Source organism: Homo sapiens, chromosome 9, assembly GCF_000001405.40.
Source record: "Homo sapiens chromosome 9, GRCh38.p14 Primary Assembly".
In the NCBI taxonomy this organism is placed as follows: Eukaryota; Metazoa; Chordata; class Mammalia; order Primates; family Hominidae; genus Homo; species Homo sapiens.
In genome coordinates, this window is record NC_000009.12 from 69,054,179 (window position 1) to 69,079,525 (window position 25,347).

At 45.2% G+C, this 25,347-nt stretch overlaps 1 protein-coding gene across 2 annotated transcripts in view, besides 4 other annotated features; it reads left to right on the forward strand.

The window, feature by feature from the left end:
• The window catches only part of FXN (frataxin), a 43,325-nt gene extending 18,427 nt beyond the window's left edge, over positions 1–24,898 (forward strand). The window contains exons 4-5 of one of the 2 annotated variants that reach the window (NM_181425.3): positions 10,760–10,865; positions 18,434–24,898. In NM_181425.3, coding sequence (NP_852090.1) covers positions 10,760–10,865; positions 18,434–18,534 — 207 coding nt within the window. In that variant the 3' untranslated portion in view covers positions 18,535–24,898. The remainder of the gene's footprint in view (positions 1–10,759; positions 10,866–18,433) is intronic. The other variant, NM_000144.5, reaches the window with a different exon arrangement.
• Positions 655–1,156: an enhancer, noted in NCBI's record as "H3K27ac hESC enhancer chr9:71669749-71670250 (GRCh37/hg19 assembly coordinates)". NCBI's record gives its function as "activates a minimal SCP1, AML or CMV promoter by ChIP-STARR-seq in naive H9 embryonic stem cells {active_cell/tissue: H9 hESC(naive)}" and the evidence as "EXISTENCE:reporter gene assay evidence [ECO:0000049][PMID:30033119]".
• Positions 1,157–1,656: an enhancer, noted in NCBI's record as "H3K27ac hESC enhancer chr9:71670251-71670750 (GRCh37/hg19 assembly coordinates)". NCBI's record gives its function as "activates a minimal SCP1, AML or CMV promoter by ChIP-STARR-seq in naive H9 embryonic stem cells {active_cell/tissue: H9 hESC(naive)}" and the evidence as "EXISTENCE:reporter gene assay evidence [ECO:0000049][PMID:30033119]".
• Positions 12,427–13,026: an enhancer, noted in NCBI's record as "H3K27ac-H3K4me1 hESC enhancer chr9:71681521-71682120 (GRCh37/hg19 assembly coordinates)". NCBI's record gives its function as "activates a minimal SCP1, AML or CMV promoter by ChIP-STARR-seq in naive H9 embryonic stem cells {active_cell/tissue: H9 hESC(naive)}" and the evidence as "EXISTENCE:reporter gene assay evidence [ECO:0000049][PMID:30033119]".
• Positions 14,277–14,776: an enhancer, noted in NCBI's record as "H3K4me1 hESC enhancer chr9:71683371-71683870 (GRCh37/hg19 assembly coordinates)". NCBI's record gives its function as "activates a minimal SCP1, AML or CMV promoter by ChIP-STARR-seq in naive H9 embryonic stem cells {active_cell/tissue: H9 hESC(naive)}" and the evidence as "EXISTENCE:reporter gene assay evidence [ECO:0000049][PMID:30033119]".

A 25,347-nucleotide genomic window follows, 5' to 3' on the forward strand; every position in this document is an offset into this window, starting at 1 on the left:
TAGTAAAGACGGGGTTTCACCATGTTGGTTAGGCTGGTCTCGATCTCCTGACCTCAAATGGTCCACCCCCATCAGCCTTCCAAAGTTTTGGGATAACAGGCGTGAGCCACCAGGTCCGGCCTGGTGTGAGAACTTCTGAGTTGGATGAAACATTAGCCCCAGATCCTAGAAGCCAGGGAAGTGCTGGTCTTTATCGACTGGCCACCAGGTGGCAGATTTGGGCAAGGGTCTGCCTTTGGGTTTAGAATTATTGCTTAGGCCTTAAAGTAGTTCTTTTTTGCCAGTGGGAGAAAATCCCTCAAAGATGGTTTTCTGGGTTGGTTGGTTTGTTTGTCTGTTTGTTTGTTTTTTGAGACAGAGTCTCCCTCTGTTATTCAGCCTGGAGTGCAGTGGCATGATCTCACTGCAACCTCTGCCTCTCGGGTTCAAGCAGTTCTCCTGCCTCAACCTCCCAAGTAGCTGGAATTATAGGCACACGCCCCCACACCCAGCTAATTTTTGTATTTTTAGTAGAGACAGTGTTTCACCACGTTGGCCAGGCTGGTTTTGAACTCCTGAACTCAAGTAATCCTCCCACCTCAGCCTCCCAAAGTGCTAGGATTACAGGTGTGAGCCACCGCGCCTGGCTCCTCAAAGATGTTAATCCTCTTGATGGCAATTGACTAATACCAGAAAATGTCACGAAGCGTGCATTTTGGATTCAATCATGGAATTGTTGAGGACAATCAGCCATCAGACTAAAGCGATAGAAATAGTATTGGAAATTGCAGCGGGAGCACTGAATGGAGAAGGCACTCCACATAATGGAGGAGGCAACCAAGTCTTAGAGAAGGTATCAAGCCTGACTATAAGGACAGTGAGGGAATTGAAAAAACAAAAAAGGAGCAATGGAGCAGGGAAGGATTGAATGCCTTTCAAGTAGATTCAGTAATTGCTGTTAGCAGCAAAAAATGCAGTAGTGCCTGGGCAGGGCTTTAAAGTGCTTGCACAGGCAGCCCTAGAGGGCCGGGCTGCTTGGGAACTCTTACAAACTGACCTACCAACTTGAGCATCCACAGCCTGATCAGAGGTGGGGGAGTTAAGGGCCTTCTCTCCCCTAGCCTCTACTAGAGCCTGTAACTGCAGGGAAACCAAGTTGCAGGCTAAACTCTGCCCACACATGCAGACATTGATTAGCAAGCTACAAAAACAGTCATGAAACCTGTTTTTATAGGATTAGTGAAGCCCCAGTTTGACCAGAGTACTTTGCATGAATGTTTTGTTAGAAGCAAATGTGCCAATATTCTAGCAGCTGCGTTTGGTTTACTTCTTCTTCTTCTTTTTTTTTTTTTTTGAGTTGAAGCCTAGCTCTGTCACCCAGGCTGGAGTGCAGTTGTGTGATCTCAGCTCACTGCAACCTCTGCCTCCCAGGTTCAAGCGATTCTCCCGCCTCAACCTCCTGAGTAGCTGGGATTACAGACATGTACCACAATACAGGGCTAAGTTTTGTATTTTTAGTAGAAATGGGGTTTCACCATGTTGGCCAGGCTGGTCTCAAACTCCTGATCTCAAGTGATCCACCCGCCTCAGCCTCCTAAAGTGCTGGGTTAACAGGCATGAGCCACGGCACCTGGCAAAAGTCATCTTTTGGTTTACTTCTATTGAACTGAAAAAGTCACAAATATATTTATATTTAATTAAATATATTTATATAAAAATATGGTATTTAGTATTATTATTTTTAGAGACAGGGCCTCGCTCTGTCACCCAGGCTGGAGTGCAGTGGCACAATCATAGCTCACTGCAGCCTCAAGCTTCTGGGCTCAAGTGATCGTTCCACCTCAGCCTCCCTAGTAGCTGGGACTACAGGCACATGCCACCATACTCGGCTAATTATTTTATTTTATTTATGGGTCTCGCTATGTTTCCCAGGCTGGTCTCAAACTCCTGGCCTCAAGCGATTCTCTCACCTCGGCCTCCCAAAGCACCGGGATTACAGGTGTGTGCCAGCACACCCAGCCACAAATCTATAAATTTAGAAAGGAGGACTATTTCTAAAGAGGGTCCCACTACCTGTAGGCAGGAAGCAGAGCCTCTGGCCATAACTGAAAAACAAGCACTTCCAAGAAGGGGCAAAGGGAACATGAATTTATGCTGAGAGGCGTAGCTAAGCATACATATTCAACAGATTATGGGAGGATCTATGAATATTCACAAAGGGAGGATCTATGAATATGCACACATGTGGAGTAAGCTAACGTGTGCAGCATGTCTCCCATGTTCACCTTAGGCAGAAACTTAACACTAACATGTATTACAGGGCAACAAAATGAGACTGCATATCTACATAACCTAGCTATTTGGTAGGCTGAAGCAGGAGCATCACTTAAGACTGGGAGTTCGAGGCAGCTGTGAGCCATGATCGCACCACTGTTCTCCAGCCAGGATGACAGGGCAAGACCCTGTCTTAGACCACTCTGTGGTCAGTGGTTATCAGGAAGGAATGCTAGTCAGTTGTGCTGAAACCACTAAAAAGGAAGGGCAGAATTAGGTGATGAGTTGATACCAGTGGTGAAGTGAGTCTTTTTTTTTTTTTTCTTTTTGAGATGGAGTCTTGCTCTGTTGCCCAGGCTGGAGTGTAGTGGTGTGATCTCAGCTCATCGCAACCTCCACCTCCTGGGTTCAAGTGATTCTCTTGCCTCAGCCTCCCGAGTAGCTGGGATTACAGGCGCCTGCCACCACGCCTGGCTAATTTTTTTATATTTTTAGTAGAGACTGGGTTTTGCCATGTTGTCAGGCTAGTCTTGAACTCCTGACCTCAGGTAATCCAACTGCTTTGGCCTCCCAAAGTGCTGGGATTACAGGCAGCTCCAAAGTGCTGGGATTACAGGCATGAGCCACCATGCATGGCCTGAAATAATTTTTTTGAAAGGGCTAGTTTCTATTTAGCCCTTAGGGGAAAAAAAACTAATGGCAGTTAGGGAGGGAATAGAACGAGTCCTGTTTGAACTCCTTTCCCATCATGGCCAAAACTTAAAATTTTTTTTAGATATCTCTGGGCTCCCCTTGGCCAAAAGATAGTTTGTTGAGTCAGTTGGGAGCTTAGAATTTTGTTTTTATTTCTCACATCATTGAATCAATTTGAACCAGGCGACAAAACCTTCTGCTCCCAGTAGTGGGTCAGAGAACCTTCCTGATTCCTGCCCTGAGATTGTCTCTCTGAAGACAACATTAGGCTAGTAGGCTTTCCAGATTCTGTAACCCATTCTTTCAAAGGAAGAGATGCCTATATTTTTCTAGCCAATTCATATACCTTGAGTATCACTCAAGGGCAAAATTATTTCTAACAAATCATTTACTAATTAGCAAATGCTTAAGTGTAGATTTAGAAAGCTAAAGCTATACAGTGGCTGCCATCTATAGTTTGGACTTGTGATTAACTACATTGAAATGCTAACTCTGTACCCTAGAGTATGAATTCCTGATTAGAGTCCTTCAGGTGCTAACTAATTTATGTATTTCATGTTTGATAATATTATTACTTGAGCTTTGTGGGAGAGCAGTCTTTTCCTCCCCTGAGATATAGCTAGAAGTTACCTCCTTTGTGAAGCCTTCCTAGATACTCCAAGCAGACACGGTCCTTCCTTTCTCCCTTGCCCAGCACTCTGAGGTTGACTCTGTGGAGCACTGATCCCTCTGTGTTATAATTGTCTATTTACACGTCAGCTACCACCTATAACACACTGAGTTCCTCAACAGCAGGGACACTGTCCATTCTTTGATCCCAGTGTCTGGAACAGTGCCAAGTACATAGTAGGGACTTAATAAATATTGATTCATATGTAAATGAGACTTTTCCAAAACATGCTTTCGTTGATGCCTCTCAGCATTTATACACCTTTTACCAACTCGCTACTGGCCACATAGACAAATGAAAGCAGTAATCCAGATACACCCAAGAGGACATCTGTTCTTTTTTCTCTCTGTGGAGTGGGAGACTTAAGTGGCTTCTTAACTGGTGTGTCGTCTGATCAAGTGGTCCAGGTAACAGGTGGATGCCAATGTCTGGCCCAGGCATCACCCCTTACTGGCACTGGTCATTACAGAAGACACTCTACCAGAGCTGAAAGGACCTCTTGTCACTAGGCAGCTGTGGAGTCCGCTCTACTTGACCTAGTAAAATCTGCCTGGAGACTGTTAGAGTCACCCCACTACCTGAAGTTACCTCCAGGCTGACCTCTTTTTTTTCCCAGGTGGAGTCCTGGCATCTTAGATATTTTAATAAGGATTTGCTTGTTGACATGTTCTTTATTCACTAAGGTGTCAGCATATTACTGTCTTAGAACTGAGGGTTCTTCATCTTTTTTGGATCAGGACCTCCCTCTAAGAATCTGATGACTGCTCTGGTCCCTCTCCCAATAAAAACTTCCATACTCACCTGTTAAAAAAAAAAAAAACTTTAAACAAATTAACAGAGTTTTATTCAGCAAAGAATGATTCATAAATCGGGAAGGCTGCAACCAGAATAGGTTCAGAGAGACTCCACGGTGTGCCACGTGGTTGGAGAGGATTTAGGATTTATGCACAGAAAAAGGAAAGTGACATGCAGAAAATGAAAGTGAGGGCCTGGTGCTGGTGCGGTGCCTCACGCCTGTAATCCCAGCACTTTGGGAGGCCGAGGCGGGCAGATCATGAGGTCAGGAGATCGAGACCATCCTGGCTAACACGGTGAAACCCTGTCTCTACTAAAAATGCAAAAACTTAGCCGGGCGTGGTGGCAGGCACCTGTAGTCCCAGCTACTTGGGAGGCTGAGGCAGGAGAATGGTGTGAACCTGGGAGGCGGAGCTTGCAGTGAGCCAGGATCCCGCCACTGCACTCCAGCCTGGGCGACAGAGCGAGACTTCATCTTAAAAAAAAAGAAAAGAAAAAGGAAAATGAAAGTGAGGTACAGAAACAGCCAGGTTGGTTACAGCTTGGTGTTTGCCTTAAACTTGGTTTGAACAGTTGGCCGCCTTTGATTAGCCAAAACTCGGTGATTGGTACAAGAGTAGATTGCAGTTCACTATGTACAGAGAAGCCCTTAGATCCGAACTCAAAATAGGTAAGGAGGCAGTTTTAGCTACACTTAAGTTAACATACTCAGGAGTACCATTCCAGCTTCAAGCTGGAAGTGTCTGCAGCCCCCTGAGACCACTTAATCCCAAGTTAAAAACCCCTGCTCAGAGGCAGCATCTTTTTTTTTTTTTTTTTTTTTTTTTTTGAGAGAGATCTCACTCTGTCACCCAGGCTGGAGTGCAGTGGCACGATCTCAGCTCACTGCAACCACCACCTCCTGGGCTCAAGGGATTCTCTTGCCTCAGTCTCCCGAGTAACTGGGATTACAGGCGCGTGCCACTATGTCCAGCTAATTTTTTTTTTTGTATTTTTAGTAGAGATGGGGTTTCACCATGTTGGCCTGGCTGGTCTTGAACTCTTGACCTCAAGTGATCCACTGGCCTCAGCCTCCCAAAGTGCTGGCATTAGAGGTGTGAGTCACTGTTCCTGGCCCAGTGAGGCACCATCTCATTGGATATGGAGACAAAGGATCTGGCTTAGCATCCTGGATTTGTATTTTCTTTCCAAGAGTCCTTAAGTGATATCTAACTTTTGCGAGCTGCAGTTTCCTCAGCTATGAGATGAGTGACATTAACCTCCTCTCTTCAGATTTATAAGAGGATCAATTAAAATGGCATAGGTAAAAGTGCATCCTAGCAAGTTGGTATCTACTTTAGAAATGAAGGAGGTCATATGTATGTGAAGTCTCCAGACCCAACATGCCATCTTATATGTGTCTATTTCTACAAGTGAGCTAGTGACAACAGTAATTGCTATTTTTGCTCCTACATGGGTAGGGCTGATCTTGACTAGGAGGAGTCAATAAGACTCACCAGCCGGGCGTGGTGGCTCACGCCTGTAATCCCAGCACTTTGGGAGGCCAAGGCGGGCGGATCACGAGGTCAGGAGATCGAGACCATTCTGGCTAACACGGTGAAACCCCGTCTCTACTAAAAAAATACAAAAAAATTAGCTGGGCGTGGTGGTGGGCGCCTGTAGTCCCAGCTACTCGGGAAGCTGAGGCAGGAGAATGGCGTGAACCCGGGAGGCAGAGCTTGCAGTGAACCAAGATCGAGCCACTGCACTCTAGCCTGGGTGACAGAGCGAGACTCCATCTCAAAAAAAAAAAAAAGACTCACCAGCTGTGGCCACTGTCTGTGCTAATTGGCTAGTGCCTGCATCTCAGAAACTGCTACATATTTTGACTATTCCCCCTGCACTTAAGGGCATGCACACTCCCAAAATAGACTCAGATTGTCTAAGGAATAATGATGATGATGAAGAGAAAGCCCTCTTTATCTGGTCTATTTGTAGTCAGTTCCAAAAGCATTAAGAATTTCTGCTGAACTAATGCAGCTAGTTTCTTTCCTGTCACCACTTTCCTTCCAAAATAGTTTCAAGATCTGTGGGGGAAAAAATCTATTTACAGTGAACAGACTGGTGGGAGGAAGTTGAGCATTGGGGTTTTCTGCCCTGTGTAACCTTGCCCTAAGTTGGGCAGATGGTATCACACTACCTGGACATCATCTGCTCATTCACTATTTGACCAGTTGGTCATTCATTCACAAATGTCCTTTTTGCAGGAGGGATGGAGGTGCTAGACCTGCAGATGCTAGCATGAAAAGACAGATCTCCTGCTGCTAAGGTGCTTAAAGTAGTGGAGGTCAGGGGACAAGCAAGCAGTCAGGCAGCTCTGAATGCAGAGGCAGGAAGCACCACGAGGCAATGGGACCCACAGAGGGGTAGCAGGGTAGAGGTGAGTGGGTCTCATGTGGGGAGGGAGGAAGTTGACTGCAGAGAAGGTGCCAGGGGGTGAAAATAGCTTGAGAGCTGTGGAGCTAGAAGGGCTCTCACATTTGCTTATTAATATGCCCTTTGAAAAAGAGTGGCCTGATACCTGGAGTCACTCAAAAGATTTCCAATTCCGATAGGAAAAAGTCAATTTTGGCTTCAGTGGTTGCATGTGCACCCCCTGATTTGCTGTATGCTGAGGCATTGTGGTGATGGACGCAAGTGCGGAGACCTTGAGCACGCATCTGCCCCTAGTTCTTGCCCTGAGTCCTCGAAGGAGGCAGGAGAGACATCAAGGCAGACAGGCGCCGCTCATCAGTGATGAGACCAGACCTGGAACTCGCGTCTTATACTCAGTCCTCTGCCCTTTCTGCTGGATTGTGGCCCCCCAGTATAGGGTGCAACACACAACTGGAGCATTTAAGGGCCACAAAGAGAACAAATTACCAATGATTGTGTGTTGATTCTTTGAGCTCTTTTTTTTTATTATTATACTTTAAGTGTTAGGGTACATGTGCACAATGTGCAGGTTAGTTACATATGTATACATGTGCCATGCTGGTGTGCTGCACCCATTAACTCGTCATTTAGCATTAGGTATAGCTCCTAAAGCTATCCCTCCCCCCTTCCCCCTCCCTCCACCCCACAACAGTCCCCAGAGTGTGATGTTCCCCTTCCTGTGACCATGTGTTCTCATTGTTCAGTTCCCACCTATGAGTGAGAATATGCAGTGTTTGATTTTTTGTTCTTGCGATAGTTTACTGAGAATGATGATTTCCAGTTTCATCCATGTCCCTACAAAGGACATGAACTCATCATTTTTTATTGCTGCATAGTATTCCATGGTGTATATGTGCCACATTTTCTTAATCCAGTCTATCATTGTTGGATGAGCTCTTTATCTCATGGAAAAATAATTTATAAAACTCTGTATGAGAGGAGTGGGAAATAGTATTAACGGGTGCGGGGTTTCTTTTTGGGACAATGGAAATAGCTGGAATTAGATAGTGGTGATGTTTGCACACTTTGTGAAATACTAAAAACTCCTGAATTATACAGTTTTAAGAAACTTTTATTTATTTGTTTTTGAGAGAAGTTCTCTGTGTCACCCAGGCTGAAGTGTGGTGGCGTGATCACCGGTTATTGCAGCCTCAATCTCTGAGGCTCAAGCGATTCTCCCACCTCAGCCTACCAAGTAGATGTGACTATAGGTGCGCACCACCACACCCAGTGAATTTGTAATTTTTTGTAAAAACAAGGTTTTACCATGTTGCCCAGTCTGGTCTTGAACTCCTGGGCCCAAGCGATCCTCCCTCCTTGGGCTCCCGAAGTGCCAGGATACAAGCATGAGTCACCACATGCAGCCTCAGTTTTAAGAAACTTTTAAATAAATGAAATATAGTCATACCAAAACAGTAAAAATGGGTTTCAGGAAAAAAAATGTTTTTTTAAACAAACTTACGTATTGTATAATCCCAGCCCTTTTAAAAAATGCTTTCAAAAACTGGCAGTCAACTCATAAAAGGACAAATACTTATGATTCCACTGATGAAGTAGTCAAAAGTAGTCAAAAATCACAGAAACACCACCATAAATGTATAATTTTTATTTTCAATTAAAAAAACATCTTTTTTTTAGTCAAAATCATAGAAATAGAAAGTAGACAGGTGGTTACTAAGGGCTATGGGATGGGGAAATTAGTGTCTAATGGGCATAGAGTTTCAGTGTTACAAGGTGAAAAGTTCTAGAGTTATGCTGCCCAGCAGTGTGAATATACTTTATTGTTCTGTACACTTAACATGGTTAATATGGTAAATTTAGCGTTATGTGCTTTTTACTATAGTAAAATTAAAAAAAAAAAAAATGGGGCCGAGTGCAGTAGCTCACACCTGTAACATAATCCCAGCACTTTGGGAGGCCGAGGTAGGAGGATCACTTGAGGCCAGAAGTTTGAAACCAGCCTGGTCAATATAGCGAGACCTCATCTCTACAAAAGAAAAATGTTAAAATTAGACAGGTGTGGTGTCTGTAGTCCCAGCTCTCTGGAGGCAGGGACTGAGTCAGAGGATCACTTGAGCATAGGGGTTTGAGGCTGCAGTGAGCCATGATCCTGCCACTGCTGCAGCCTGAGCAACAGAGCAAGACCCTGTTGTAAAAACAAACAAACAAAAACTGGCAGCTGATACCTGAGAGTGAATATCTTTTATCGCTGGTTAATGGGATTGAGAGAATGCTTCATCTTATAGAAAGAACAGTGTCTTTGGACCCACAGAGACCTGGATTTAAGATTAGCTCTGCCAATTACTGAGTACTCTTTACTATGAACCTCTGTTTTCCTCATCTGTGAAACTGGAATAATGAATCCTACCGCCAACAATTGTAGTCAAGTTGGAAACAATTTACACAAAGTGCCAAACACCAAGCCTGGCACAGTAGGAACCGAGTAAATAGTGGTTAATATTTTTATCAGTGTCTGCATTGCTGACGTCTCCATCATTTCTATACATTTGTTTTTGAATCAGAAAAAGATGTTATTTTAAAAAAATAACCCAGTAGTGCCCCTTGTCCCATTCCTATCAGTTATATTATTATTGTTACTACCCTCTGGAATTTCAATAACTCTTTGTTTTTTGGGTTTTTTGTTTTGTTTTGCTTTGCTTTTGAGACAGGATCTCTGTCGCCCAGTCTGGTGTGTAGTGGTGTGATCTCAGCTCACTGCAGCCTCAACCTCCTGGGCTCAGGTGATCCTCCCACTTCAGCCTCCCAAGTAGCTGGGACCACAGGCGCATGCCACCACACTTGGCTAATTTTTGCATTTTTAGTAGAGACAGGGTTTTGCCATATTGCCTAGGCCGGTCTGGAACTTCTGGGCTCAAGCCATCTGCCTGCCTCGGCCTCCCAAAGTGCTGGAATTTCAGGCATGAGCCATGCCTGGCCTAAATAGCTCTCTGTGTTTGCAAAAGTGTGTTATAAGAATCATTCAGAGCCTCTCGATTGGATGGAGGCTCTAGAATGCACAGAAAAAGGCTGCCACCGTGTATCTCTGCAAGTCATGCACAAGATGGGGAACAGCAGGCTTCCCCCTGCTTACCAGTTCAAATACAGAGAACTAGCCCTGTAGCTGTTTCTTTCATATCTCACCCATTCTAAAGAGACCACAGGCCTTAGAAGTAAAGGACTCTTTTGTTGAAAGAGTGTTTTCAAATTTAAATGAGCATTTATTGGTCAAAGATGCACCAACTAGTCTTTTGAAGAATTCAAGGCTCTTTAGAGAAAAATAAAGCCTTGGAGGAGTATCTGAGAAGCTTGTTAGATGCGTGGGAAGAGTCTGGAAATAAAAAACTTCATCTGGAGTTTCTGCCTTCTACCAACAGAGCTGAAGCTAATGCTCTCCTAAGACAAGCAAAGCAGATGGTTTGCATACTTCCTTACCTTCCTTTTACTTCCTCTGTAATAGACTTGTCATGTCTGATGTTTGAGTTGACGTGGTACTCTAATAGAGTTAGAGTCTGCATTTTTTTTATGTCCTCTAGTATGTTCTGGTTGATGGTTGAGGGCAACAAACCAGCAGTCCCAGATGCCAGCACCAAGACCTGAGACAGGTCACTTAACTCTCCGAGCTTCACCACCATTCTCACCTTGCAGACCTCACAGGGAACAGGGAAAGCTCTATGAGATACAACATCATTATGATTAATCCTATTCTGATTCTGAAAGCAAAGCTCTTCCTACACAAACTCCTATTTCTAAATACTAAAAGACATTTCTTTATGGTGTATTTTGTGTACTTGTAGAAATGGAAAGTGTTGAGATAAAACATGAAGCAATGATGACAAAGTGCTAACTTTTTCTTGTTTTAATTTCTTTATGCTTTTTTTCCACCTAATCCCCTAGAGTGGTGTCTTAACTGTCAAACTGGGTGGAGATCTAGGAACCTATGTGATCAACAAGCAGACGCCAAACAAGCAAATCTGGCTATCTTCTCCATCCAGGTATGTAGGTATGTTCAGAAGTCAACATATGTAATTCTTAAAGACTTCCGAAATGTGACATTGTGGACCATTTAAGAAATGTCGGCTGAGCACAGTGGCTGACACCTGTAATCCCAACACTTTGAGAGGCTGAGGTAGGAGGATCACTTGAGGACAGGAGTTCAGAACCATCCTGGGCAACATAGTGAGTCCCTGTCTCTGTAAAGAAAATAAAAATAAAGTCACAGCTGGGTGCAGGCTTACACCTGTAATCCCAGCACTTTGGGAGGCCAAGGCCTGTGGATCACTTGAGCTCAGGAGTTTGAGACCAGCCTGGGCAATGTCACAAAGCCCCACCTCTACTAAAAATATAAAAATTAGCCAGGTGTGGTGGCACACGCCTATAGTCCCAACTACTTGGAAGGCTGAGGTTGAGCCTCAGCCTGAGCCCAGGAGGTGGAGGTTGCAGTGAGCCAAGATCGCGCCACTGCACTCCAGCCTGGGCAACAGGGCCAGACCCTGTCCCAAAAAAAAAAAAAAAGTCATCGTCTTATGTTAGCATCCTTGTAAGTGAGCCTTTCCTGATATTTTGCAGCCTGTCTCATTCTCAGTAGAAAAGTTTACTCTAGTTACATAACTTCTCCCTGCTGACAATTTGGATACTGTAAGCAGGCATCAGGATATTAAGATCTGAAGTGAGTAGCTTATAACTTTTCCAAATCCAGCCTAGACAGTTTTCCTCTATTAAATTATTGCCCTGACTTTAAAAGAAGCTACTTTTGACCTTGTAGCGTTTGAACAAGTTGCACTTTGTCTTCAAAGCAAGTTAAAGTTTGACCTCTACTTGTTTTGAGCCTCTCAGGTAAAGGGTTATTTGAATTCCCTTTGCAGGTTGGGGTTGTGTACCCTGTGGAGGTGGTAGAGTGTTATATATTGCTGCTCCAGGGCATTTAATCCCTCCTGCCTTTTCCATTGATGTGCTTTCAATCTAGAGGAATAAAAGATTGTGTTGGAGACACAATGTGGCCTGCATAGCATCTGAAAGCCTGAGAACATGCAGGGAGAGACATCCCTCATCCCTCAGCAGCCTGGCTGCTGTTGAAGTGGTTGTAAGAAAGTAAAAGAGAAATGCCCACAAAACGTTCTCAGATCCAGTCATTCATTAGCACTTCCAAAGAGAGCATGTTGACTGTGAATTGGGAAAGGGCCAGATAAAACTAGCATAGAATTCTTTGAAAGACTAACGGTATTTGCATTTTTTAAAAATTATAACCTTACTCTACCCCCTAACATTGACATCATTTTTAGGTAATTAATATTTTCCCATTTATTATTCTGTGATCTCTAATGCTTTGTTCAGAATAAATAGTGTGTTTCCTTTCCCCACACTTTCATCCAAGAAGTGTGCTAGAGTTCAACAAAAACAGCACTAGAAATCACTGTCATTCTAGGAAGGCCCTAATTCACAGATTGTATTGGTTTTTAGACCCAGTTAGTGTGCTGGAGGTTGGAGGATTTTAACCTCTGTGGGCCAACTAGCCTCTGTGGCCTCAGTCATTCTTCCTGACCCTGGCTGTGCTTGAGCCTGTGTGTTCTTATCCTTCATCTCCGGGGGAACGAAGTGGATCAGCTCGGTCCAGCGATCACTTTTGGGGATCAGTGGCTTTGTAGATATCGGGCAGGCACTTACCCCAAAAGAACTTTCCCCATATCTGAAGACTGAAAACGTCCATATCGTATTTGGACACACTGCCCAGCAATACGCTCTAGCTGTGTTCAGAAGCATGGGAATTTGGAAAGATCTGCTGAGCATGCCGTTTACTGTCACAGATACTATCTTCCTCAAAAAAAAAAAATATATATATATATATGGGGGACGGGGCAGGTTGAGACTGGGTGAGACTGAAGAGGTGCCTTGGCCAGAGCAGGCCACACCCAGAGACCACAGGCTCCCCGGTCCACCTCAGGCCCCTCCCCTTCCTGCGCCGTTTCCGGCAGATCCAGAGTGGCCACCGCCGGATGGGAGTCGGGGGAAGGGAGGCAGAGAAGCGGGCCCTGAGGACAAGCTCTCAGTGCTTCTGTGGGAAGTGGCGGCAAGACGGCAGCTCCCAGCGGGGGATGGAGGCCGAGTCAGTCTGCTGGTCACTGGAGGCCAGGATGCTGCCTAACACAGCCGTCCCGCTCCGGGCCTCACCACCAGGGCGGCTCTCCCCACTCCCGGCCTGCTGCCCACACAGACTGCGGGGTTCCGGGGGAGCAGGACCCAGGCCGTTCTGCGCCTGTCTTCTTGGAAGGAGCAGGCCGGAGCGCGGGAGCGCCGTGTAGCTGTACCTGCGAAGGCACAGGATTCCGCGGGAAGATCCCGCAGTTTCGGGCCGTCGTCATTGTTTTTATACCTGTGGCAAATGGCATGACCAGACACACGGTTATGTCTGGAGAAACCCCTGTAGAGGAGCAGGAGGTTGTGGACATGCTGTGGCCCGGACAGTGGCTGCCGAGCAGTTGGAGCCTGCACCCGCCCAACTTGGCTAAAGAAGTCCCCATACTCTCTGTGGAAAAGATTTCCAGAAGCTGTTGTGTCAATATCAAAGCCTCAAAACAACAACAACAACAACAAAAACATGAAATTATCAACAATAAAGATCATCCTTGAGTCTGCTTTGAAAAGTAGGGTGAAATTCTGCAGAGGCATTCAACTGGCAAGATACCACCCTCATAGCCAGATCTGCAGGTCTCAGCCATCATGCCAGGGAAAATGCTCCATTCACCACTCCTCAGCTTCTGCTTCTGGTTTCAGAGGTCTCTGTATTGGAGGGGCTTTAAAGCAAGAAGGGTCTTTACCCACTTACTCTTATTCACAGATGTGAATATGCAGGTCCAGTGGGGAAAGTGACATGTCCTAAGTCAGAATAGAGTCAACAAGAAAACAGGGCCCAAAATGACTTAGCCTCTAGTGTATAATGGGCATTGATGAGCTACTGGAAATACAGAGATGAAGAAAACACAGTCCCATCTTCAAGGAGCTCAATCTAGCAAGGGAGACAGACTCTTTGTAGGTGGGACCGGGCTTCCCTGCAGCAGAAGGAAGCTTGAAATTGGTAACGAGCCTCAGAAGGGACAGAGGCAGGCCACCATGCTACCCTGAGAGGATCGCATGTGGACACGGGGCTATGACCTGGCCCTGCTTTGACCCACTAGCTGTGCTGTAGGGCCAGGTGGAGCCTGGAGTGGCCTGTGCTAAGGGGCTACTATGAGCTCTTTCCACTCCCCCAAGGCATTGCATAAATAATGTCACTTTCTGTTTGCACAGCAAAATCAGGGACACAATTTTCTAGAACATGGGGTGCCTCCCCTCCCCCCAGCCCAACAGAAGTTCTACAATGACTGATGGGCCCTTGTTTTTGTTTGAGACGGAACACCCCACAGGGTTCCGAGTGGTGATTTGTGGCCCACAGGCCACTGGCAAGTGGAGGCAGAGCTGCAGAGCCCTCGGGAGCCACAGAGGGCCTGCTGGCCGCCACGACATGCCAACTCAGCTGCTGCTGGCCCTCCTGTGGGCGGCAGTGCTAGTGATGTGCAGAATCTTAGGACTAGTGCCAAGGAACCTATAAATACCCTGGGTGACCCAGGCGTGCACTGCTGTGGTGGCCTTCACAGTCAGAAGATGACAAGCTGAGAAGGGGAGAATCGGCCCAAGGTGAGATCCACAGAAAGGCCAGGGCCAAGATGCGGCCAGCACCTCAGGCTGGTGGTGGTCTTACGTTGACCATGCCAGAGGCCAGTCCTTGATTGCTCCAAACCCTCTGTTCGAGGGTTCCAAATGAAATGAGCAGGTCCTCGTGTCAGGACCTAGGTTAGTTTCTGAAAAAGCATGAAAAGCAGGCCTCCTGAACTTCCCCGAGTGACTGATGCAAAGTGCGTCCTGCATGCTTCACAGCACCATGGAGAGGATCTTCAGGGGCAAACTGCAGACTATCTGAATGACGGCACTGACCATCAGCAAACCGCAGAGCTGCCTGACCAAGAAATTGCGAGACAGAAGCAATGCTTGCAGGCGAAGAAGAAGGGGCCAGACACAGTGGCTCACGCCTGTAATCCCAGCACTTTGGGAGGCCAAGGCAGGCGGATCACTTGAGGTCAGGAGTTTGAGACCAGCCTGGGCAACATAGTGAAACCCTGTCTCTACTAAAAATACAAAAAATTCGCCAGGCATGGTGGCAGGCACCTGTAATCCCAGCTGCTTGGGAGACTGAGACAGGAGAATTGCTTGAACCCAGGAGGCGAAGGTTGTAACGAACTGAAATCGTGCCACAGCACTCCATCCTGGGCGACAGAGTGAGACTGTCTCAAAAAAAGGAGGAGAAGAAGGAAAGGCCAAGGCAGGAATGAAACAGGCCATGAATGTTGGAGTGAAGCAACTGGCCTCCTCGTGCTAAGCGGCTACTGTGAGTTCTTTCCACTCCCCCAAGACATTGCATAAATAATGTCACTTTCTGACACTCACCCCGCTGAATGTCCTGCCTCTGCTCAAGGGTGGTATGATGGGGACTTGGCAGTGGAGGGGAACAGGGAAACCAGACATGGTGGTCTCCCCGCTTCCTGGCTACAAGTCCCTCTGAAGAAATCCAAAGGAGTAAAGAGCTTGGAGAGTAGGCCTCTGTAGGGTGCAAGGGCACAGCTGGAGACGGAGCTCCTGAGGCTGCAGCTGATGCTGCCCGCTCTGCCTGAACTGCACCAAAAACGTGATGAGGCCATAGCGGGAGTCCACGGAGGAGGATGCCTACTGCCCGACCTCTAGCAGAGACTAAGCAAGGTGCATGAAAACTTGAACCACATGTGTCACACCCATGACCACTACATGAAGATGGCCCAAAACCTGGCCCAGGAATTGAAGAAAGACTCTTCCAATTTGCTGTAAGAAAATGGCCCAGGGGGCAAGCACGGTAGCTCACACCTGTAATCCTAGCACTTTGGGAAGCTGACGCAGGCAGATGGCTTGAGCTCAGGAGTTCCAGACCAGCCTGGGCAACATGGTGAAACCCCGTCTCTACCAAAAATACAAAAATTAGCCGGGTGTGGTGATGCATGCCTGTGGTCCCAGCTACTCAGGAGGCTGAGGTGGAAGGATTGCCTGAGTCTGTGGGGCAGAGGTTGCAGTGAGCTGAGATCACACCACTGCACTCCAGCCTGGGTGACACAGTGAGACCCCATCTCAAAAAAAAAAAAAAGAAAGAAAACGGCCCAGGAAGGCTGGAGGGCCGCCGTGTCCATTGAGAGAGTGCTCCAGGCACTCCAAAAAGAAAATGACCACAATGGGAAGAAACCAGCTGACCATGAGACCAAGTTCCAACCTTTTACAAGTGGCCTGTGGCTCCTGGCGCCCCGCCCACAGCTGACAGGGGCTCAGAAGTGCTAGGGGGACCATGGGCCACCAGGGCCACCAGGAGGGAGGCAGGTAACGATGCGAGGGCTTGGATGCAGAACACCAGCTGGTTTGATTCTGTTTTCCCTGTACCTGGGTCCTGAATGCCCAGAGGCTCAGGGAAACACCAGCCAGTGCTGCTGCCTTTAAAGCACTTTTGACTGATCTCTTGTTAATTTAGCAACTGTTATTGGTTGATGCTGCAGTTGCTCTTATTGAAGTTTGATTGATAGCATTAGGATGGTAAGGCACTATTTTTCAAATAAAGGTTGTTTAATATAAAAAAAATTTTGTTTTTTTTTCTCTCAGCCTTTCACATTGGTTCAAAATATCTTTCATCTGGCTGCATTTCTGATTTTTGTTTTGTTTTTTTTTTCTTAATTTTATTTATTTTTAATTAAAAATAATTTTTTTTGTCAACATGGGGTCTCACTTTGTTGCCTAGGTTGGTCTGAAACTCGTGGCTTCAAGCAATCCTCCCACATCAGCCTCCCAAAGTGCTGGGGTTATGGGTGTGAGCCACTGCAGCAGCCTGTTTTTTTTGTTTGTTTGTTTTTTTTAATTTGACAAGTTTTCAGGTCCTGTGAAATCAGCAGTCTTACCTCCCACCTTGCGCACCCTGAGGAGGTTGCAGAATAAAGGAGAATTCTAGGGACACGTGGGCATCAGTGCCTGTGCTCAGAGCACCTCAGGCAGTGTGGAGGGGTCTAGAGGTTACTCAGGCTCTGCCTGGCAACCCGATAGCAGTATCAGAGTATAGGGCCAAGGGGACGGTCCTTGGGCTTGGTGTGGTTTATTAGTCCTTTTCCTGTGACCCTGATGGTTTGGTTCACTCATTTTTATCTCCATACTGGGAACAGGTTCAAGCCCCAGCATTTGGTTGATAATGCAGGAATCCTTGATACTTTTATTGCCCAAGCTTCCCTTCCTGGTGACCTCATCCTAGCCTCAGTCTTTGGAAAAGCCCTCCTTGAGTGCTCAGGCAGACTCAGGTGCCCTTTCTTCTGGGCTCCCATGCACTCTGTTCTTACCTCCATCAGGGTGCCACATGCACTAGTGTTATCTGCTGCCGTGGCCAATCATCCATGAGGCCATGAGGAAGTGGAATGTACATCTGGTATAAGAAGACATGGCAGAAGCCAGCCTCCGATCTGTCCACACGAATACAGCATTCCCAAAGCAACGTGCATGTGCCATTATTCACTGGATGAGCTTGAGGTGGATGAACTAGCCCACCAGGCTCTCAATGTCATGAATTTAACACTGAATTAAGAAAAATATGTTTTAAAAATAATAGTTTAGGTGATTGCTGGGGTGCTAGGAGAGGAAGGAATGGGGAATAACTGTTTAATGGGTATAGTTGGCCTTGTGTATCTGTGGGTTCCACATCTGATTCAACCAACCGTGGATCAAAATATTTGAAAATAAAAAACAAAACAAAAATGATACAAATAAAAACCAATATAACAACTATTAACAGCATTTACATTGTACTAGGCATTATAAGTAATCTGGAGATGACTTAAAGCATACAGAAGGATGTGCCTAGGTTAGATGCATGTATCGTACCATTTCATATCAGGGACTTGAGTACCCACGGATTTTGGTATCTGCAGATCCTGGAACCCCTTCCCTATGGATACCAAGGAACAACAGCACTGGGTCTCCTTTTGGGGTGATGCAGATGTTTTGAAGCTAGGCAGAGGTAGTGGTTGCACAACATTGTAAATGTACTAAATGCCACCAAATTATTCATTTTTAAATGGTTAATGTGTTATGTGAATTTCACCTTAACAACTAATAATATTATAGGTAAGGCACAAGTTACATCTGTAGCACAAAAATGGCCCTAATTTTTAAAACACTGCTCCAGCATAGCAGGTATCACATGTGAGGTAGCAAAAGCTGGAGATCAAAGTGTGATACCTGGAGACTTATCAGTAAGGGTCAAATGTTTTTTCAGGTTTTGAGAATCATTCTTGGAATTGTTCCAGAAGATATATCGTATAACTCTTCTTAGATGCTAAGATAAGAAGGCAGATATACACTAGCTCATTTTGTGTTATTTTCTAGAGCTTTACTCCAGTCAATTTCTTGGGGGCAGCATTTGTGGAATCAGTGGTTCATCTGAAGGGCTGTGCTGTGGAATTACTATGCATTTGTTTTGTCTTCCAGTGGACCTAAGCGTTATGACTGGACTGGGAAAAACTGGGTGTACTCCCACGACGGCGTGTCCCTCCATGAGCTGCTGGCCGCAGAGCTCACTAAAGCCTTAAAAACCAAACTGGACTTGTCTTCCTTGGCCTATTCCGGAAAAGATGCTTGATGCCCAGCCCCGTTTTAAGGACATTAAAAGCTATCAGGCCAAGACCCCAGCTTCATTATGCAGCTGAGGTCTGTTTTTTGTTGTTGTTGTTGTTTATTTTTTTTATTCCTGCTTTTGAGGACAGTTGGGCTATGTGTCACAGCTCTGTAGAAAGAATGTGTTGCCTCCTACCTTGCCCCCAAGTTCTGATTTTTAATTTCTATGGAAGATTTTTTGGATTGTCGGATTTCCTCCCTCACATGATACCCCTTATCTTTTATAATGTCTTATGCCTATACCTGAATATAACAACCTTTAAAAAAGCAAAATAATAAGAAGGAAAAATTCCAGGAGGGAAAATGAATTGTCTTCACTCTTCATTCTTTGAAGGATTTACTGCAAGAAGTACATGAAGAGCAGCTGGTCAACCTGCTCACTGTTCTATCTCCAAATGAGACACATTAAAGGGTAGCCTACAAATGTTTTCAGGCTTCTTTCAAAGTGTAAGCACTTCTGAGCTCTTTAGCATTGAAGTGTCGAAAGCAACTCACACGGGAAGATCATTTCTTATTTGTGCTCTGTGACTGCCAAGGTGTGGCCTGCACTGGGTTGTCCAGGGAGACCTAGTGCTGTTTCTCCCACATATTCACATACGTGTCTGTGTGTATATATATTTTTTCAATTTAAAGGTTAGTATGGAATCAGCTGCTACAAGAATGCAAAAAATCTTCCAAAGACAAGAAAAGAGGAAAAAAAGCCGTTTTCATGAGCTGAGTGATGTAGCGTAACAAACAAAATCATGGAGCTGAGGAGGTGCCTTGTAAACATGAAGGGGCAGATAAAGGAAGGAGATACTCATGTTGATAAAGAGAGCCCTGGTCCTAGACATAGTTCAGCCACAAAGTAGTTGTCCCTTTGTGGACAAGTTTCCCAAATTCCCTGGACCTCTGCTTCCCCATCTGTTAAATGAGAGAATAGAGTATGGTTGATTCCCAGCATTCAGTGGTCCTGTCAAGCAACCTAACAGGCTAGTTCTAATTCCCTATTGGGTAGATGAGGGGATGACAAAGAACAGTTTTTAAGCTATATAGGAAACATTGTTATTGGTGTTGCCCTATCGTGATTTCAGTTGAATTCATGTGAAAATAATAGCCATCCTTGGCCTGGCGCGGTGGCTCACACCTGTAATCCCAGCACTTTTGGAGGCCAAGGTGGGTGGATCACCTGAGGTCAGGAGTTCAAGACCAGCCTGGCCAACATGATGAAACCCCGTCTCTACTAAAAATACAAAAAATTAGCCGGGCATGATGGCAGGTGCCTGTAATCCCAGCTACTTGGGAGGCTGAAGCGGAAGAATCGCTTGAACCCAGAGGTGGAGGTTGCAGTGAGCCGAGATCGTGCCATTGCACTGTAACCTGGGTGACTGAGCAAAACTCTGTCTCAAAATAATAATAACAATATAATAATAATAATAGCCATCCTTTATTGTACCCTTACTGGGTTAATCGTATTATACCACATTACCTCATTTTAATTTTTACTGACCTGCACTTTATACAAAGCAACAAGCCTCCAGGACATTAAAATTCATGCAAAGTTATGCTCATGTTATATTATTTTCTTACTTAAAGAAGGATTTATTAGTGGCTGGGCATGGTGGCGTGCACCTGTAATCCCAGGTACTCAGGAGGCTGAGACGGGAGAATTGCTTGACCCCAGGCGGAGGAGGTTACAGTGAGTCGAGATCGTACCTGAGCGACAGAGCGAGACTCCGTCTCAAAAAAAAAAAAAAGGAGGGTTTATTAATGAGAAGTTTGTATTAATATGTAGCAAAGGCTTTTCCAATGGGTGAATAAAAACACATTCCATTAAGTCAAGCTGGGAGCAGTGGCATATACCTATAGTCCCAGCTGCACAGGAGGCTGAGACAGGAGGATTGCTTGAAGCCAGGAATTGGAGATCAGCCTGGGCAACACAGCAAGATCCTATCTCTTAAAAAAAGAAAAAAAAACCTATTAATAATAAAACAGTATAAACAAAAGCTAAATAGGTAAAATATTTTTTCTGAAATAAAATTATTTTTTGAGTCTGATGGAAATGTTTAAGTGCAGTAGGCCAGTGCCAGTGAGAAAATAAATAACATCATACATGTTTGTATGTGTTTGCATCTTGCTTCTACTGAAAGTTTCAGTGCACCCCACTTACTTAGAACTCGGTGACATGATGTACTCCTTTATCTGGGACACAGCACAAAAGAGGTATGCAGTGGGGCTGCTCTGACATGAAAGTGGAAGTTAAGGAATCTGGGCTCTTATGGGGTCCTTGTGGGCCAGCCCTTCAGGCCTATTTTACTTTCATTTTACATATAGCTCTAATTGGTTTGATTATCTCGTTCCCAAGGCAGTGGGAGATCCCCATTTAAGGAAAGAAAAGGGGCCTGGCACAGTGGCTCATGCCTGTAATCCCAGCACTTTGGGAGGCTGAGGCAAGTGTATCACCTGAGGTCAGGAGTTCAAGACCAGCCTGGCCAACATGGCAAAATCCCGTCTCTACTAAAAATATTAAAAAATTGGCTGGGCGTGGTGGTTCGTGCCTATAATTTCAGCTACTCAGGAGGCTGAGGCAGGAGAATCGCTGTAACCTGGGGGGTGGAGGTTGCAGTGAGACGAGATCATGCCACTTCACTCCAGCCTGGCCAACAGAGCCATACTCCGTCTCAAATAAATAAATAAATAAATAAAGGGACTTCAAACACATGAACAGCAGCCAGGGGAAGAATCAAAATCATATTCTGTCAAGCAAACTGGAAAAGTACCACTGTGTGTACCAATAGCCTCCCCACCACAGACCCTGGGAGCATCGCCTCATTTATGGTGTGGTCCAGTCATCCATGTGAAGGATGAGTTTCCAGGAAAAGGTTATTAAATATTCACTGTAACATACTGGAGGAGGTGAGGAATTGCATAATACAATCTTAGAAAACTTTTTTTTCCCCTTTCTATTTTTTGAGACAGGATCTCACTTTGGCACTCAGGCTGGAGGACAGTGGTACAATCAAAGCTCATGGCAGCCTCGACCTCCCTGGGCTTGGGCAATCCTCCCACAGGTGTGCACCTCCATAGCTGGCTAATTTGTGTATTTTTTGTAGAGATGGGGTTTCACCATGTTGCCCAGGCTGGTCTCTAACACTTAGGCTCAAGTGATCCACCTGCCTCGTCCTCCCAAGATGCTGGGATTACAGGTGTGTGCCACAGGTGTTCATCAGAAAGCTTTTTCTATTATTTTTACCTTCTTGAGTGGGTAGAACCTCAGCCACATAGAAAATAAAATGTTCTGGCATGACTTATTTAGCTCTCTGGAATTACAAAGAAGGAATGAGGTGTGTAAAAGAGAACCTGGGTTTTTGAATCACAAATTTAGAATTTAATCGAAACTCTGCCTCTTACTTGTTTGTAGACACTGACAGTGGCCTCATGTTTTTTTTTTTTTTAATCTATAAAATGGAGATATCTAACATGTTGAGCCTGGGCCCACAGGCAAAGCACAATCCTGATGTGAGAAGTACTCAGTTCATGACAACTGTTGTTCTCACATGCATAGCATAATTTCATATTCACATTGGAGGACTTCTCCCAAAATATGGATGACGTTCCCTACTCAACCTTGAACTTAATCAAAATACTCAGTTTACTTAACTTCGTATTAGATTCTGATTCCCTGGAACCATTTATCGTGTGCCTTACCATGCTTATATTTTACTTGATCTTTTGCATACCTTCTAAAACTATTTTAGCCAATTTAAAATTTGACAGTTTGCATTAAATTATAGGTTTACAATATGCTTTATCCAGCTATACCTGCCCCAAATTCTGACAGATGCTTTTGCCACCTCTAAAGGAAGACCCATGTTCATAGTGATGGAGTTTGTGTGGACTAACCATGCAAGGTTGCCAAGGAAAAATCGCTTTACGCTTCCAAGGTACACACTAAGATGAAAGTAATTTTAGTCCGTGTCCAGTTGGATTCTTGGCACATAGTTATCTTCTGCTAGAACAAACTAAAACAGCTACATGCCAGCAAGGGAGAAAGGGGAAGGAGGGGCAAAGTTTTGAAATTTCATGTAAATTTATGCTGTTCAAAACGACGAGTTCATGACTTTGTGTATAGAGTAAGAAATGCCTTTTCTTTTTTGAGACAGAGTCTTGCTCTGTCACCCAGGCTGGAGTGCAGTGGCACGATCTGGGCTCACTACAACCTCCGCCTCCTGGGTTCAAGCAATTCTCTGCCTCAGCCTCCCGAGTAGCTGGGATTACAGGTGCCTGCCACCACACCCGGCTAATTTTTGTATTTTTAGTAGAGACGGGGTTTCACCATCATGGCCAGGCTGGTCTTGAACTCCTGACCTAGTAATCCACCTGCCTCCGCCTCCCAAAGTGCTGGGATTACAGGCGTGAGCCACTGCACCCAGCCAGAAATGCCTTCTAATCTTTGGTTTATCTTAATTAGCCAGGACACTTGGAGTGCATCCCGAAGTACCTGATCAGTGGCCCCTTTGGAATGTGTAAAACTCAGCTCACTTATATCCCTGCATCCGCTACAGAGACAGAATCCAAGCTCATATGTTCCATCTTCTCTGGCTGTATAGTTTAAGGAATGGAAGGCACCAGAACAGATTTATTGAAATGTTTATTAGCTGAAGATTTATTTAGACAGTTGAGGAAAACATCAGCACCCAGCAGTAAAATTGGCTCTCAAAGATTTTCTTCTCCTGTGGAAAGTCAGACCTCTGAGGCCCCATCCAGGTAGAAGTACTAGTGCAAGAAGGGCCTCTGCTGTCCACTTGTGTTTCTGTGATCTGTGGGAACATTGTTAACGCCACATCTTGACCTCAAATTGTTTAGCTCCTGGCCAGACACGGTGGCTCACACCTGTAATCCCAGCACTTTGAGAGGCTGAGGCAGGTGGATCACCTGAGGTTAGGAGTTCGAGGCCAGCCTGGTCAACATGGTAAAACCCCGCCTCTACTAAAAATACAAAAATTAGCTGGCCGTAGTGGCGCACGCCTGTTATCCCAGCTACTCGGGAGGCTGAGGCAGGAGAATTGCTTGAACCTGGGTGGTGGAGGTTGCAGTGAGCCGAGATTACACCACTGCACTCCAGCCTGGGTGACAAGAGGGAAACTCCATTAAAAAAATGTAATTCCCGTGTCTGCCATCTTAAGTGTAAAGGTGGCTAAATTATATAGAAAAATAAGACAATATCATTTCCCAATTACATTCCTTTCCTACCGCACTCTATGATGCTAGCTGAGATTTTTCCAAAAGAAAATGGCTTAAATAAAACCCTAAGAGAAAGAAAAACTTTAAATCCCTCCAAAGCTCAAAAGTAATAGAAACAGATGAGTTTGGAGTCAGGATTTCTCTGTAAGATTGCCTAGGCTGTGTACTGCACATCTCCAGGTGCCACTGTTGACAGAGATTATAACTACAATGTGAAGTGAATGGTGCCACTGACAGTTATGCAAACCGTCCAGAGCATAGCCACCTGATCCTGCTGGGATTCCTCTTGCCAGTCCATCAGCAGTTCCCCTTGAAAGTTTCACCAAACATCCCTTAAATCTGCCCTCTCCTGCCCGTCCCCAGTGGAGGTCCTCATCATTTTTCACCTGCATTTTTGCAGGAGCTTTCTTATATCCACCTTCCTCCTTTTCTCTCAGCCCATCATCTAGCTACACAGTCTCCAGGGTAAGCTTTCAGAAAGGCAATCTCTTGTCTGTAAAACCTAAGCAGGACCAAGGCCAAGTTTCTTAGCCTGAAAAATGTGCTTTTCTGACTGAACTGTTCAGGCACTGACTCTACATATAATTATGCTTTTCTACCCCCTCACACTCAACACTTTGACTCCAGCAATCCCAAATCCCCAGATCCCTAAGTGTGCTGTGCTATTTTCACGTGGCTCTCAGACTTGGCCAGTGCTGTTTCCATTTTGGTCTTTATTCCCCACATCTCTGCCTGGGGGGTAGATTCTACCCTGAAAAATGTTCTTGGCACAGCCTTGCAAACTCCTCCTCCACTCAGCCTCTGCCTGGATGCCCTTGATTGTTCCATGTCCTCAGCATACCATGTTTGTCTTTCCCAGCACTGACCTACCATGTGTCACCCCTGCTTGGCTGTACCTTCCATGAGGCTAGGACTATGTGTCTCCTTTGTTGACTGCTGTTGCCCTAGCATCTTGCACAGTTCCTTGCACACAATTAGAGCTCTATAAATGTCAAATAAATGTGTTATAATTATATGTTTAAGATAGTTGTTCAAATAAACTCTAAATAACCCCAACTCCAAGAGTGTTAGCAAGAAATATAAATTTTACAGAAGAATGGTTGGAGGTGGGGAGGGTGTCCACGGAGTGAGTTACCTCACACAGGCACGGAAAAACTTGAACCTCCTAAGGACATTTTTAAGCTCTCTTTCCCATTTTCTCTCCTGGATTCCCATTGCCTGGTCTCATTTCTCTCTTCTCCACCACACCACTTCCTCAAAAATTCCTTTAGGGTTTGTTCTTAAGCTTAGATAGGTTTCCCATTCTGAAATACAAAGGCCTGATAATTAGCCAACTTACCTTGTTGGGGATGTGGAAGGCAAGACTCTCAGACTCCATGACTCAGGTATATTGCAACAATTAGGCTGAAAGTTCCTTGAGAGTAAGTGTCCAAATCTTTTCATGTTTGGTTCCCAGGGCTCACTACAGTTGTTGGTATATCATAGGCACTCTAATATCTTCTTAA